Source organism: Homo sapiens, chromosome 6, assembly GCF_000001405.40.
Source record: "Homo sapiens chromosome 6, GRCh38.p14 Primary Assembly".
In the NCBI taxonomy this organism is placed as follows: domain Eukaryota; kingdom Metazoa; phylum Chordata; class Mammalia; order Primates; family Hominidae; genus Homo; species Homo sapiens.
The window spans coordinates 6,077,653-6,094,047 of record NC_000006.12 but is presented as its reverse complement, the minus strand read 5'-3'; positions in this window follow the sequence as shown (position 1 = coordinate 6,094,047).

Genomic DNA, 16,395 nt, shown 5'->3' with positions numbered 1-16,395 from the left:
AACAAATAGGCCCCCTAATTTGTATTGCACATATTCTATACAAGGTAGAAGGTGAGAATGAAAATAACAAATGAACAAGATGTTCCATAAGGATAGACAAAGTCTGGTACTAATCCAGTATTTCCCCCTTATCCAAATGTGATGGACTGAAAGAATCCAGGATCAAAATCAAGCTTCATCTCCTAACAGACCCTGATCATGTACCAGATGGGAATATTTAAAATATACCCAGAAAAGCAACCTCTCAATGACAGCGAATTTTAGCACAGGAAGGCTGATGCTGACGTTCCTATACTTTCATTTTCTGTGATTCGATGAGCTACTTTGACATTACTCCTGGTTAATGACAGTTATCAAGATGCTTTGATTCTCTTTCTCACTCTGGATCATTTTACTTTCCATCAGTGACTTGCAATTCTATCAGTGACAAATCAATTTTCTTCACAAACTATCAAGGTCAACTTTCACAAACACTGTAGTCACAGCCACAAAACATCTGTTAAGACAGATCACAGTTGAGGGAGCAATTAATTTATTCCCATCTCATGGCTTGACTGGCCCCCAGTGGGGTGATGTGATGCATCTGCTCATTCAACACATTGCATCATTACCTCCTCTGTGCCGGAGCACAAGCCACAGGGCAGTGATCAAAGCAGACAAAATATCTGCCCTCATGGTGCATAGATTCTGGTTGAGGGAGACAGGTAATAAACAATTTAGTTAAATAACAGTGTGGTAGGTATTGTAATTTTAGATGAACTAGGCAAGGAAGGCCTCAGAAAAGAGTTGACAACTGAGAAAATACCTGAAGAAAAAGAGGATGTGAGCCACGTACATCTCTTGGGTAAACGTTTCCCAAACTGAGGAATAACAAGAGCAACGTTTGGAGGCAGAAAAGTATCTGTCACATTCAAAGAACAGCAAGGAAACCAGGTGGCTGGAGCAGAGGTGAATAAGTGCGAAGTTCTGGAAGCTGAGGTCAAAAAGGTAAGTGCAGATTTTATCACATAGGGCTTTAGAGCCATTCCAGGTGCCTTGCTTTTACTCTGAAGTGGGAAACTACCAGAGGCTTTTGGGTATAGGAGTCGTGTGACCTGACTTTGATTTTAACAGAATCACTCCAGCTGCTCTGTTGACTATGACCAAAGGAGGACAAGGGCAGACATAGGAAGGCCAGTGAAGGTTGCATTAAATGCAATGAAGTTTGACTAGATATTTATCTGCCCCAGCCTCTGGTCCTTAAGTTTATACATCTAAGCTAAGATACTGTTAGCGGAAAAGAAGGAGCAAAGCAACGTGCAACAAATCTATGTCATTTTTTGGCAACAAGTCATAAAAATTTTTGAGGGGTAAAGAGAGAAAATATTAAGAAGTGTTCTCCTTCACCTTTCTTTCTCTCTCTTTCTAGCCAAGCTTTCCATGCTCACCTAAACTGGTGGCATTTTTGTCTTTGATGTGACTGATTTTGAGGTGAAGGAATGAATCTATGACTTGGTGGTACTCCTGCTGGCCTTCTATCGATCCGTGAATTAAAAAGGAAAGAAAAATTTCCTAAGAAGGACCAAAGGGAGTTAGGAAAGGTGGTTTATAAAGTGGGAGAGATAATCCTAGACGGATGTACAAGGGCGAAAGAAAATCCTATGACTTGATCTTGTTAGGAAGCTGACCTAGAAAGACTGGGCTTTGTAAGAAGCCTTGATCAAGAGTTACAAGAAAGGGAACATATAAAAATGCTGGAAAGGTTTTCAACCTCAACATTATCACTGGGAGGGATCCCTCATAGTTGGATCTTGAATTTTGGGGAATTAAAGCACAGAGGGTACCATCCTAATTCCACCCCTGTGAACTTACTGAACAGCTTGTGAACTTACTGAACAGCATAAGCAGTTCATTTTTCAAACAGAGAGCTTTACTCACACAGGAGAATTTCCTGCAACTAGAAAATAGTTCCGATAACTGTCTCTCTTTTATTAGCTATGGAGGACATGTCCATCACTGCTGGTGCATGAGGTAGGGCATGGGCACTGACAGCAGTTCAAAAATCTATCGTAAGTGGATTATAGGGGTTGGCCAGAAATATAAAGTAGCATTAAGTGTGTTAGATACTGGCATGAGGCTGTGAAGAAGATGCAGAAAACACTCTCCTCTACATTCATTGTTTCACTCAGCATAATCAGGGTTGAGGGAGAACACTCAAACTGAAAGTAGTGAGGTTTCTCTTTTCCTGGATTCCATTCAATGTAGGGGTCATTTTCAGTGGTCCCAAGAGCTAAATTGGGCAAAGTGGATTTCTACCATCTGAGCTCCTCACTCACACTGGGACAGTCATTTTGCACTATGAACATTACACACTGTTGGTAATTGTTTGGGGCATTTTCCAGGTGTAGAACAAAAGCCCTTTGGCTCACAAAATGGCTCCAAATGTTGCCATCGACTCTCCAAATATTTCCAGTACTTCAAATCCAAAATCATTACTATTGATTTTGAAAGGCATTGATTACAATTTCTTCAGAACTCTATGTTTGTTTCTTTGGAAAAAGCATTGTTTCATGGCAAAAGAAGAAAAACTGATACATATTTTAGGTGCTTTCACTTGATGAGTCACCTTCTCTCCATTTTTCAAAGTATTCATTGGTCTGTTTGAGGGCAAGAAATGACCTAAATACCCTAATGCAGCAAGGACCGGCAGTTTCTATCCAGCCATGGCCCCTCGAAAAGTGACTATTCACCCCCCTTTAGTGGGGGTGAGTTCCTATGATTTTTTCTTGCCTTGGTATCTATTTTGAATATAGGTTTAAGTTTCTTATACCAGAAGACTTTAGTTACCATTGAAAGAGTTTCCAGTTCTCCACCTCCTCCAGTTCCTCAGGATGGTCAATCCAAATATCTGCCCTAAACAACCACCTCCTGGTGACCACCTGCCTATGGGTCAGCTCACTATACAGCTCGCTTGACTCACCCCCACTCACCCATACACCCCACATAGACTGTGCAGAAATGCTGTGGTGACCACCTCTTAGTCACAGCGTGACTCCATAGAACTCATGCCTCCTGGTTGTAAACCCACCAACTAGAACTCCCCATAGGGAATCCGCCTGGGTAGCAACCTGGAGCCCATCAAAGACTTTGGCCACACAAGTCCCTTACTATCTCTTGATCCCCACCTGAGTGTGTATGTCCAGGATGGCTTCCCCCTTTCCCTTGGCCCTGTGAGGCATGCTGCTCTGTTCTCTCTGGGACTTGTAAGTAATACACTGCTCCTGGTATTTCGTGTATTTTATTGAGCTGCCTCCTCTGTGTCTCAACTGACTAATACGCCCCAATCTAACTTCTTTCCCAGTTAGGGCTCTCCTGGAGTGTGGCTGTGTTGGTAGGAATAAACTGAACACAGCTCAGACAAGAGCACAAGGACATCTGCCAATCTAACCAAGTTTCTTGTGAGAGGGACACCTGATCACAGGTCAAACACTTGGACCAGGATAAAGAAGTACCCCATGAAAGGCACACTGTAAACACCCATGATCAAATCCCCTAGAGACCCCCCTACTTGTCTCTTGCTAAGAAAGGGTGCTAAGGAATTAGGTCGCAATTTTACTCCTATTCTCTCCCATCCAGAGCGTCAACTCTAGGTTGATTTTTCCTCTTATAGATTCGCTAAAAGCAAAAGGAACTACCTTATCCCTTCAAACATGAAATGTACTACTTGTAACCAAAAAGGCACTCATTAGAAAAAGGAAACTTATCACCAAAGGCACATGGTGGTCTTGGTCCACACTACCTTAGTGTTGTGGTTGCACTGTTGTTGAGAGAACTCCAAGACTTACGTTTCAATGTTGAATGGACATACTAATTCATGTCCACTTCTTTCAAAAACTCTAACAATTTATTTGGTTGGGCCAGTTTTATAGTTTCTACAAATCTGTAAAGCTTTCATTCAAAAAAATCCCTGGCCATTTATTCATTTGACAATCAGGCATGAGATACAATTTCTATCCTTATTACCAGCAAGCTAGCAGGAGATGAGAATGTAAACTATTTTCAGTTAGGCCAGACATTCCTATAGAGGTTGCTGTTCTTCCCACTTTGACTAGTGTCAGAAGCGTGCACTGGAAGTCCCTAAAGTAATTGTCCAGAGGACGGCAGGGTCTAAAAACAGCCTTATCTAATAGAAACGTAATGCAAGCCACATGTGATTTGGAATACTCTAGTAGCCACATTAAAAACAAGTAAAAAGAAACTGATAAAAATCATGCTCTTAATATATCTTAAATGACCACACACTTAGTGAATTAAAACCAGATAAATGTATTATCTGGAGTCCAAAATGGGTCTCATTGAGCTAAAATCAAGGCATTGATGGGGCCATGTTCTTTTCTGGAGACTCTAGAGGAGAACTTGTTTTCTTGCCTTTTCCAGCCTACAGAGGCTGCCCACTTTCCTTTGCTTGTATTCAAAGCCAGTAATAGCTGGTGGAGTCTTTCTTAGATCACATCACTTCGATGCTGACTCCTCTGCCTCCCTCTTCCACATTTAAGAACTTTTGATGACATCGGGCCCACCCAGATAATCCAAGATGATCTTATTTGAGGTCAACTGATTAGCAACCTTAATTCCACCTGCAACCTGCATTCTCTTTTGCCACATAATAAAACGTAGTCACACGTTCTGGGGATTAGGACATGCACATCACAGGGAGAGGGGTCTTATTCTGCCTTCTACAGTCAATATAAAAATTATTAATAAAATATTATTATTTTTTGTTCTTCTCACTTCAAATTCTTCAAAATTCTGTGTGTATTTTGCACTTACAGCACATCCCAATTTCAAGGACAGTCACATTTGAAGGACTCAATAGCCACATGTGGCCAGTAGCTACCAAAATGGATAGCAGAGATTTAAAGCAAGGGTTCTCAACTTGGGCTGTACATTGGAATCCTCTCAGGAGGAGCTTTTTAAAATCCTGACTCTCAACCCATACACCATTCCAAAGAAGTCAGAACTTAGGCATAAGTAATTTTTTAAAGCTCCTCAGATGATTCCAATCTGTAGCCAAGATTGAGACCCTTCAGTGTAGGGCAAGAATAAACCTCATTCTTTCTATGAACTTGAAACACTTCCCCAGTCTCTCTCTCGCTCTCTTTTTTTTTCTGTCTCTCTCTCTCTCTCGAATCAGAGCCATTTCCCTGGTGGCAAAGGCTTAGTGGTTGTGCCATGCTAGGCATTTAAAATGGTAGGTGCTCTGTGTGTGTGTGTGTGTGTGTGTGTATACAAAGGTGTGTGCATTTAGCTCTCAGCATTCGAAAACATACTCAGTGTAACTTCTGAGTCTTCTGACTCACTCTGAGATCCATTCACTCACATCCTCTTATTCACTAGATATTTAGTAAATACCTGTTGTGTGCCAGGAAATACACCAGAACGTTCTGGCTCTTTCTGTCCATGGTTTGTGAGAGAAGCTGCTATGGAAGAATTTTAGGGTCAAAATTTTTATCCCATGCTGCCTGATGACTCTTCTGGGGACACAGACACACACACACACAGACACATAAATGCATATTTTTTATAACACTGGATAGACATTGCTGCAGTTAGATCTGAGCAAATCCATTCTATTCCAGAAAAACAACCCAGGATGAACTCCTTTTCCAAGAGAAACTGTGACATCTTAACAGTGACTTTGCCGACAAGTGCAAATGATGCAATGGTCCCTGAACCCTGAAACAGCAAACTCCCTTGCACCTCTTGCAAACCTTTCCTGTCACCTATTTGCCTCCCTTTCTGTCACACTTTTCTCTCTGCTTTGAATATTCCTGGGTCTCTCCTCTTCCTTATGAAGACGGTCCTCCATGACCCGGTCTGCCTACCTTCTACTCTCCTGCTTTCTTAGGTCACTAGATCATGTCTGTTACCCACAGTCTCAGTTCCACTTCAACTGTCCCCTTCTGAAAGTTAGTACAAATCCCACCAAATGCTCACTACCAGAGTGTTCCTCATAAACAGAAAACCCTTCTCCCTCTCTTTCTTCTCTCCACACTTATTACACACAGAATAAAATCTAAGGTCTTTAACATCCTCCACGATGTTAGGTTTGTTTCTCTGGAAAAAAGCATTGTTTCATGGAAAAGAAGAAAAACTGATATATATTTTAGGTGCTTTCACTTGATGAGTCAACTTCTCTCCATTTTTCAAAGTATTCATTGGTCTGTTTGCATACTGATGTGACCCAATTCCATTTGCACTTTCCTCTCCCACTTCCTACCCCCAACTAGACTCTCTTATTCCCTGAAGAGAAGAGATTCTGCATTTTGCCCAGGTTGAGTTCACTTCCTTCACATCATGAGTAGGCACTTTACCCACATTTCCTGGCTCTTCTCGACAAGTCTCACAGGACCTTCCTACACTAATCCATCTGAGGATGCAATCTGATTGGTGTATTTAAGTCTGCGTCTTGACCTCTGTATTAGTCAGTATTCTCCAGAGAAACAGAACCAATGGGATGTATATGTGTGTATATATAGAGAAAGAGATTTATTTTAAGGAATTGGTTCCCATGATTATGGAAGCTGGGAAGTTTAAAATCTGCAGAGTGGGCAGGTGGGCTGAAGACCCAGGGAAGAGCCAAGGTTGCCATTCCAGTTTGAAAGCTATCTACTGACAGAATCCCCTCTTCTTCCTGGGAGGGCAATCTTTTGTCCTATCCAGGACTTCAACTGATGGGATGAGGCCCACCCGCAATATAGAAGGCAACGTGCTTTACTGAGTCTACTAATTTAAATGTTAATCTCATCCAAAAACATATTTTCACAGAAACATTCATAATGTTTAAATAAATATCTGGGTACCATAGCCAGCCAAGCTGACACATAAATTAACCATCACAACCTCTGAGCACCAGAGGGCAAAGACTATTACTTTTTCCTCACTGTACCCCCATCTCATTGCCCCACTCACAGTGTGCCATGATAGCTTACTCATGGCAGGGGCTTAGTAAACATGGCCTGAATTGAGTCCAATCAAAACATATGCAGAGGCCCTGACTGTGAAGGAAAGCCAGCATTCTGTCACCCACACTAGATTTGCAAGGTACTGTCCTTCTGCAGGACTTTTCTTGACTTTGAGGCTTTCTCCTCTCTCCAGACTGCATTTGCCTATAAGTAGTACAAAATAAATATTTTTTAATCTCAAATCAAAGTAACTACTTGCCTTCAAAATCTCCTTGTTCATAATGAAAATCTCAAATCACAACTTGGGTGCCTCAGAATGTCCAAATATGCCTTTGGCTAAGCAAACTTAAGGATACAAAAGAGAAAGTCACTAAAACTAAGTCTAGTTTGTTAACCTGGGAACTTCTGCAGGATTGAGTATCCCCTCTTGACTTCCCCATGGAGCCGGCCAAGGCCCAGGACAGTATACAAATGTATATGCAAAGGCTCAAAAGACAGAGGTCTCAGTGAAAAAATAAGGAAATAGGGGATCCCCAACCCACCACATCCTGATACTTCTGATCTGCAAGGAATTGCTGAATAAGCAGTTGGCCTACTGGCCAGAAAGCCCTGGGGGATTGCAGCTGAGGAGGGGAGGAAAGGCAGACACTGCCAGACTGCCCTAGCTGAGGAGCATCTTACGGGAAGAGACGGAGCTCAGAAAGGCTCATTTCCTTTTTTTCTCTTCCACTAAGACTCATATGGTTTCATAATGGCATTTTAAGCTAGCTGTTAATGTTGGTAATGTAGTTTGGGAAAAAGCAAAAAGGCCTAATTATAAGAATCAATATATTATGTGAAGAGAGAACAAAAGACTCCATTAAATATGAAGCAGGGCTTCAATTCCAACCAGGACAAGGCCAAACAAGGAAACTGAAACCATTGTGTGAGGTTGAAGTGAGTAGGAGAGAAAGAAGTTGGTTCAGAGCTCGTTCATTCCTCCTTCCTGTTGAAAATGCTGCAGCTTCACTGGGCAAATTAGATCAGCTGAGTAATCCCAGGCCCACCCAGCACAGAACACATGATAGGTCCTTTGTAAATAATTGTTGAATTAGTTAATGAACAAATGAATGAATAGATTACTTGATGATAGCCCTGCCCTCCTTTATTTCTTTTAGGCCAGTACTATAAAAGTGTGGTCCCCCAAACAGCAGCATCTGCATCACCAGCAAACTTTTTCATAGGGAAAAGTCCCCCTCACCAAAACATTAGGGGTGAGGCTCAACAATCTGTATTTTACTAAGCCCTGCTGGTAACTCTGATGCAGGCTTAAAGTTCAAGAACCTCTGCTTTAGGCAAAGCCCAGGTTTCAATAGGAAATCTACCACTCAAGAACAACACATTTTTAGCACTGCAGGGTGAATCTGACACATTCCCTGACCTCAAGGAGTCTTTTGCAACCAATAGTATTTTTTAATATATTTTTTATTTCAATAGCTTTTGGTGTGTGTTTTTTGGTTACATAAATGAATTGGTGAAGTCTGAGATTTTAATGCACCTGTCCCCCAAGTAGTGTACATCATACCCAATATGTAATTTTTTATCCCACATTCCCCTCTCACTCTCTCCCTTCTGAGTCTCCAGTGTCCATTTTACCACTCTGTATTCCTTTGTGTACTCATAGCTTAGCTCTTATTTTTAAGCAAGAACATATGGTATTTGGTTTTCCATCCCCGAGTTACTTCACTTAGAATAATGGCCTCCAGCTCCATCCCAGTTGCTGTGAAAGACTTTATTTTGTTCTTTTTTATGGCTGAGTAGTATTCCAAGGTGTAGATATACCACATTTTCTTTATCCATTCATTAGTCAATGGGCACTTAGATTGGCTCCATATCTTTGCAATTGTGAATTAATTTGTAACCATTTCTTTGTACTAGTGGCACTTACAAGTTTCAATCAGAAAACTATTCTTCCCTGCTACTGTCCCTTCAAAGACAGCTCAAACCCAACTGCAGACTAAGGTGTTCCTGTTCTCTGAATGACAGCTCCTGCAGAACTGTTTATTTTTCCAGACCCCCCGCCCCAACCGCCAAAGATGATAAGAAGGTTTGGGTCTATTTTAATTTATCTAGCTGAGTGTCAAAATCACCCAAGTCCATACTCGTAATCTCTCCTTCCCACCAGCTCTGTCTTCCTTCAAACAGGAAGTCAGAAAGGAAAGATGAAAATGGTCACCTTCTTTGCCAGCCAAGTTCTTCTATCCCTCTTTCTCCAGTCACCAAGCTGTCTCTGGTTCCTCCAGGGTAGAGCAGTGGGTAGGGGATGGGAAGGTAAAAGTATGAAAGAGCTAATGAAGCAGGATAGATGTGATGGGTACCCCCACTGAATCCTCAGTCTCCAACCCCTTCATATGGACTATGCCTGGCAACTTGTGGTTTTTCACCCAGTCCCTAGTACCTACTAGGATACTCCCCTTTTAAGGCTATCTCACTCCTACAGGCCATTTTCTTGTGTGGAATCACAGAACTATCCCCAAACTGGCACCATTTTGGGGCCCACCTTCTTTGGAATGATGTTCACATCCACACTAGTCACCTCTGTTCATCCCAAAGCCTGGCAAGTGGCATCCAGCACAGTCTTTAACCTTCCAGAGATAGAAATAGACATCAGCTTCTGGGTCCTACCTACCCTAGAAGACTAAAGTCAATTCCCCCTGATTCCTGCCACAGCCCTCAAACATCTCTCTTTGAAAGAAACTTCTTGTTGAATTTTAACCTCCTTCCCTGACTTCTTAGCTTTCAGTTATATGGCCTGCAAAGTAGGTGATGGGTGAATGCTGACAAAACTTGTTTTCAGAAATCACCTTGGCCAAACCCACACAAGTGTTATATTAGTTAGCTCAGGCTGCCATAACAAAATACCACAGACTGGGAGGCTTAAACAACAAATATTTATTGCTCATAGTTCTAGAGTCTGTAAAGTCCAAGCTGATGGTAGCAGCAGATTCAGTGTCTGGTAACAGCCTACTTTCTGGTTCATACACTGCTGTCTTCTTGCTGTGTCCTCAAATTGAGGAGAAAGGAAGCAAGCTGTCTTAGGACTCGTATAAAGACACTCATCCCATTCATGAAAACTCTACCCTCAGGGCCTCATCTAATCCTAACCACCTCCCAAAGACCCCACCTCCTAATACCATCACATTAGGAGGTAGAGTTTCCACATGTGAATTTGGGGGACACAAGTGTTCCGTCTATAACAGATGTTCTCATGCCTCACTTTTAAATGTGTGTTTGGTTGACATCTAGGCCTGTGGGATCTCAAAACTTGAGCCTGTTCGGTTTTAACGTCCTTATATACTACACACATAAATAACTAATGCTTATATGGTGCTTCCCTGTTAATAAAGTGCTCCCTGATGTGATAAGATACATAATGGCTTTAATGGAAATGGATAAGATCCGTATGAAACAAAGAGATGTTTAGAGTTTAGAATTTTTAAAAGAGAGAAAGATCACTTTCATCTGGGGGCATTGGGTCACCATTAATAGATATTCATAGCAATTCAGAATCTGTTCAAATTCATCAGAAAAGGCTTTCTTCATGACACCTCAGTAACTAAGCCTTCAGGATGACAGCCACTCAAACAGGTCATTGGTTTTCCATGAACTCCCTGCTCACTCCCTGCCTCTCACAATCTCTCTGAGATTCCTGATCCCACCACTTCACCTCTCCTGTAATGCTTCTCAAAATTTAGAATTTACCAAGATCCTGTTTGAGACCCTCTTAAAACAGACACCAGCTGCCAAACCATCACTTCAGAGAATCTGTACTGAGAGGTGAGCCATAGCCTCTTTGAACTATGTCTTAATACTGCTACAGGCTGAGTTTTTAGTGCAAGGAATGAAGGAATATGTAAGTAAGGAAACCACATCATGCTTCCCAGATGGGAGCTGGCCACACAGGGCCCATGGGCACTCTATAACATTCCGACTTTCATGTCCTGACCACACCTCAGACCCAACCAGGTCTAAACTCCTGGGGAACAGAAAAACCATGGTGCTAAGGTTTAAATGTTTGTGTTCCTTCCAAAATTTGTGTTGAAACTTAATGGCTAATCTAAAAGAATTAAGAGGTGGGGTCTTCAGGAGGTGATTAGGTCATGAGAGTAGAGACCTCATGAATGAGATTAGGTACCCTTATAAAAGGCCCTGACAGAGGAAGTTTGTCCCTTCTGCCTTTCCACTTTCTGCCATGTGAGGACACAGCGATTCTCACCTCTGGTAGTTGCAGGCTTCATGGTGCCATCTTGAAAGTAGAGACTGGACTCTCACCAGACAAGAAACCTGTTGGCCCCTTGATCTTGGACTTCCCAGCCTCCAAAACTATGAGCAAGAAATTTCTGTCCTTTGTAAATTATCCAGTCTGTTATTTGTTATAACAGTACAATGAGACTAAGACACCTGGGGATTTCATCTGTTCCCAAGATCTCACCTCTTTCCTGTACCATCCCAGAGAGCACAGCTAACGGTCTCACATTGATTGAGTTCAAATAAAGTTTCTGACTTGACCAGAATTTAGAAGAACCTGGTTCTGTGGACCCTAAGGAAGTTCATCTGCCCATCTTCACTTCAGGTGTATTGCCTGTGAATTCATCTCTATTGTGCCGTGATTCTGTGATCTGGCAGACAGCCACAGAAACTAATGCAGCCCTTCTATACTTAACCAGAGATTTCAAATATTGATAAAGCTTGCCCCTCACAGTCCAAGCCCTGGCCAAAAAACATTAAGTATTCAGGAAAATGCATAAAGCTAATTGCTAAACAGCACTCCAGCGTTGAATTCTCCTTAAGGGGCCAGTAAATGGAACATGTTAATAATTTTACAGCACAAATAAAATTGTCTTGAACTGTATAGTGTATATTCTCCATGATACTCTTAAATAGGTTGACTGTACCTCCTGCATCTGCTTCTTTACCACTCACTCACTACCTCCCTGTAACTGTTTTGAATGCCTGAAATGGCCAATACTAACTTCTTAATTCCAGAAGTTTGACATTTTCCCGGGTTTTATGGCCCTCTCTCCCATACTCATTCACCCTACTCCACTCCATGGAAGTTCTCTTCTCTTGACTAACTTGTCTGATGCCCTTCTTTGCTCCCCCAGCCATCTAAATACCATTTCGTATAAATTTTCCTTCTCTGCTGTCTTCTCTCCCCATCATGCCCCAGACCCTCTACTTAGAGAACAACCTCTTCTAGAGCTGTATCACCAATGCCAGCCTCTCACCTGAGCTCCAGTCCAAATGTTCTAAGCCCCTGATAGGTACTTGTAGTTGAATGATCTTTTGGCTACCTGGCATATGACCCCTTTTACTATTTTGGGAGACTTAAAAGATTGAAGAAGCTTTGGTGGGATACAGAGGCTATGCCACGCTATAAATAAGCTGAAAAAGCCAAATACTCACTTTCCCAGCCATCCCTGCAGCTAGGCATGCCCATATGGCCTGTGCCTCTCTGGTGCACCTGTTTCTTATATCAGAAGCTTGTAATCCAAGGAAGCAGGGACCTAGAAGCCTGGCAGTAAAGGTGACTGCAGCAGTGGCCATGGGTGCCACAGGCCACAGTGGCCACAGTGTCCAGGGCTCAGAGGCTCAGAGGCAGCTCCCAGGGGATAACTCCTAATTTGGAGCATTGTTTCAAGGTGAGAAGTTCTAAGCCTGGTTTGTACATTTCCTGAAGACTCTGAAAATGACTCAATCTTCTTTAAAATGTTCCTTTGCCTCTTAAATCAGCGTTGGTGTTGGTTGCTTCCAACTAAGAATCCTAACTGATACAATTTCTTATCCATCATCTCAAATTCAACTTGCCTAAAATTGAATTCTGTTTTTCCCCTAAAACCTGTTATTTATTGTAACTTTCCTTTTCTTTCCAATGACATCATCTTCCCAGTCACCAACACTGTAACTTCAGAGTTATCTTTAACTTTCCCCACTCTTTTTCCCCCAAACATCCGTTCAAGTAGCAGATGCTGCCGGCTTTGCCGTGATAATGCCTTCCTCATTCATGTCTTCTTTTTTTGTTTGCCTGGCCACAACCCTATTCTTCTAATTTAATCTAACTTTAGCATTATACTAATGTAGCAAGCAGCATTCTAACTGGTCTCCCTCCCTTTGAGTTTTTCACCTTTCATTTTAAGTGCATGTCACTTGAAATATTCATACCACCATTTTTCATTGTATCAGTTCCTGCTCAAAATCTTACGTAGGGCTCCCTAAACCCACAGAGTAAATTCCATTTTGGCATCACCCAGAGGCCAACTGGCCCTTTATCCTTGGGTTCTTCCTTCTACGTTCACTGTCTTTATTTTTATCCCACATCAAACTACATGAGCTTAGCTCCTTTTTGGGTTTCCCCAAACAAACCAAACATTGCAAAGTGTTAGTGACCAACTCAGACCTTGAAGATTTCCCAGGAGATATGGAATAGTAGTTCACACCGCACATCCCTATGCAAAGGGGAAATTTACACCCAATGACTCTACTTCCTAAGTCTTTTCTTGGCCATGGAGCCATCAGGTGTGTGTGTGTGTGTGTGTGTGTGTTTCCCTATCCGACCTTTTCTCCACCCAGTACCCAGTCTACCAGGCCTGTATCCCCTCAGTGATTCTCTGCCTCCTGCTAGGTTTCATGAGCCACCTGGGACGGGTTTAGACCTGACTTCAGCCGCTTACTAACCAGGTGACCTCAGGCACGTTGCTTACCTCCTGGCTCTCTGTCTGCCTTTCTGTGTCGGTTTGCTCATCAGCAAGATGAGAATAATAACAGAACCCACCTTGTTAGGGTCATTGTGAGGATTAAATGGGTGGATGGATGTAAAGTGCTTAGACTACAGCCTGGCCCTATACACGCGTTTATTGTCAACGTCCCTGAACTTCCTAGTTACAGGAGCCGCACGTCCTATCTTTGCTTAAGCAAATCTGAATTGGGTTCCTTTCCCCTTGCCATAAAAGACCCTACCATAAAAAATAAATTAAGATTATAAAAGCCATAAAAGACACAACCATACAAAGTAGGTTTTATTTTCTTCATTTTTATAGTGAGTTGGTGAAGCTAGGTAATACTCTTTAGAGTCTAGTATCTAGGTTTTGGCCTCCAGTGCCATTTTAACCATGGGAAATTGGAAAATACTTATTTTATGATCATCATAAATATTTTGCCCCTTAGGTTTTCTGAACTGCCCCATAAATAGTATAGTTCCCTCAAATTTCTGGTTCATTTACTTTTTTCTAAAATAACAGTTTAACTATAAAATATTTTAAACATATAGAAAAGAACTAAAAATAACAGACATCTTGGGTTTATTTCTAAAAGGCTTACAGTTTGTTTCTCAGGATAAGTCTTTAACCCACCAAGAATTTGTTTTTGTGTGTAGGAAGAGGTAGGAATCTAATTGCATCTTTTTCCACATAAGTAACTATTTATAGCTGTATTAAATAATCTATCATTCCCCTAATGATGTGAAATACCATCTTTATCATTTATGAAGTTCCCAGATATTTGTGAGCCAGTTTCTAGATTCTTTATTCTGCCTCGTTGTCTATTCCTCTGCTATGCCCTCCCATAACTGTACATGTTAATTATTACAGCTGTATTTTTCTCTTATACCTCCCTTCTTCTTCAGTTGACGCTATTTCTGCTTTCACTTTGATCACTGCAGCTACTGCTTTTCAAATTTATTTTCTACTGGTTTTGGCCCTTTACTGTTTTATATTATTTTTATTTTTAAAATTTTTTTTCATTTTTAATTTTTGTGAGTACATATTAGGTGTATATATTTATGGAGTACATGAGATGTTTTGATACAGGTATGCAATGCATAATAATCACATCATGGAAAATGGGATATTCATCCCCTTAAGCATTTATCCTTTCTGTTACAAACAATTGAATTATATTATTTTAGTTATTTTTAAATGTACAATTAAATTATTATTGACTACGGTCACCCTGTTACACTATCAAACACTAGGGCTTATTCATTCATTCTATTTTTTGTACCCATTAACCAACCCCACCTCCCCCTAACCCCCAACTACCCTTCCTAGCTTCTGGAAATCATTCTTCTACTCTCTATAGCCATGGGTTCAATTGTTTTGATTTTTAGATCCCCCAAATAAGAGAGAACCTGCCATGTTTGTCTTTTTGTGCCTGGCTTATTTCACTTAACATAACGATCTCCAGTTCCATCCATGCTGTTCCAAGTGACTGAATCTCATTCTTTTTATGGCTGAATAGTACTTCATTGTGTATAAGTACCACATTTTCTCTATCCATTCGTCTGTTGATGGACACTTAGGTTACTTCAAAATCTTGGCTATTGTGAACAGTGCTACAACAAACATGAGTGTGCAGTATATCTCTTCAGTACACTGATTTTCTTTCTTTTGAGTATATACCTAGGAGTGAAATTGCTGGACTGTATAACTCTATTTTTAGTGTCTTGAGGAAACTCTAAACTGTTCTCCATAGTGATTGTGCTAATTTACCTTTCCACTAACAGTGTATGAGGATTTCCTTTTCTCTACATCCTCACCAGCATTTGTTATTGCCTGTCTTTTGTGTATAAGCCATGTTAACTGGGGTGAGATGACAACTCATTGTAGTTTGGATTTCCATTTAGCTGCTGATCAATGATGTTGAGCACCTTTTCATAGGTCTTTTAGCCATTTGTATGTCTTTTTTTGGGAAATATCTATTCAAATCCTTTGCCCACTTTTTAATTGGATTATTGAACTTTTCCCATAGAGTTGTTTGAGTTTATTTATTCTGATTATTAATCCCTTGACAAATGAGTAGTTTGAAAATATTTTCTCCCATTCTGTGGGTTGTCTCCTGACTTTGTTGATTGCATCCTTTGCTGTGCAGAAGATTTTTAACTTGATGTGATCTCATTTGTCTGTTTTTGCTTCTACTGCCTGTGCCTCTGGGGTATTACTCAAGAAATCTTTGCCTAGGCTAATGGCTTGGAGATTTCTCCAATGTTTTCTTGTAGTAGTTTCATAGTTTGAGCTCTTAGATTTAAGTCTTTAATACATTTTGATTTTACTTTTGTATATGGCAAGAGATAGGGGTCTACTTTCATTCTTTTGCTTCTAGATGTCCAGTTTTCCCAGCATCATTTATTAAAGAGACACTGTCTTTTCCCCAGAGTAAGTTCATGGCACCTTTGTCGAAAATGAGTTCACTGTAGGTAGTGAATTTGTTTCTGAGTTCTCTCTTCTGTTCCATTGGTCTGTGTGTCTGTTTTTATGCTGGAACCATGCTTTTTTGGTTACTATAGCTCTCTAGTATAATTTGAAGTCAGATAATGTGATTCCTTCAGTTTTTTCTTTTTGCTTAGGATAGCTTTGGCTATTCTCAGTCTTGTGTAGTTCCATATAAATTTTGGGATAGTTTTTTCTATTTCTGTGAA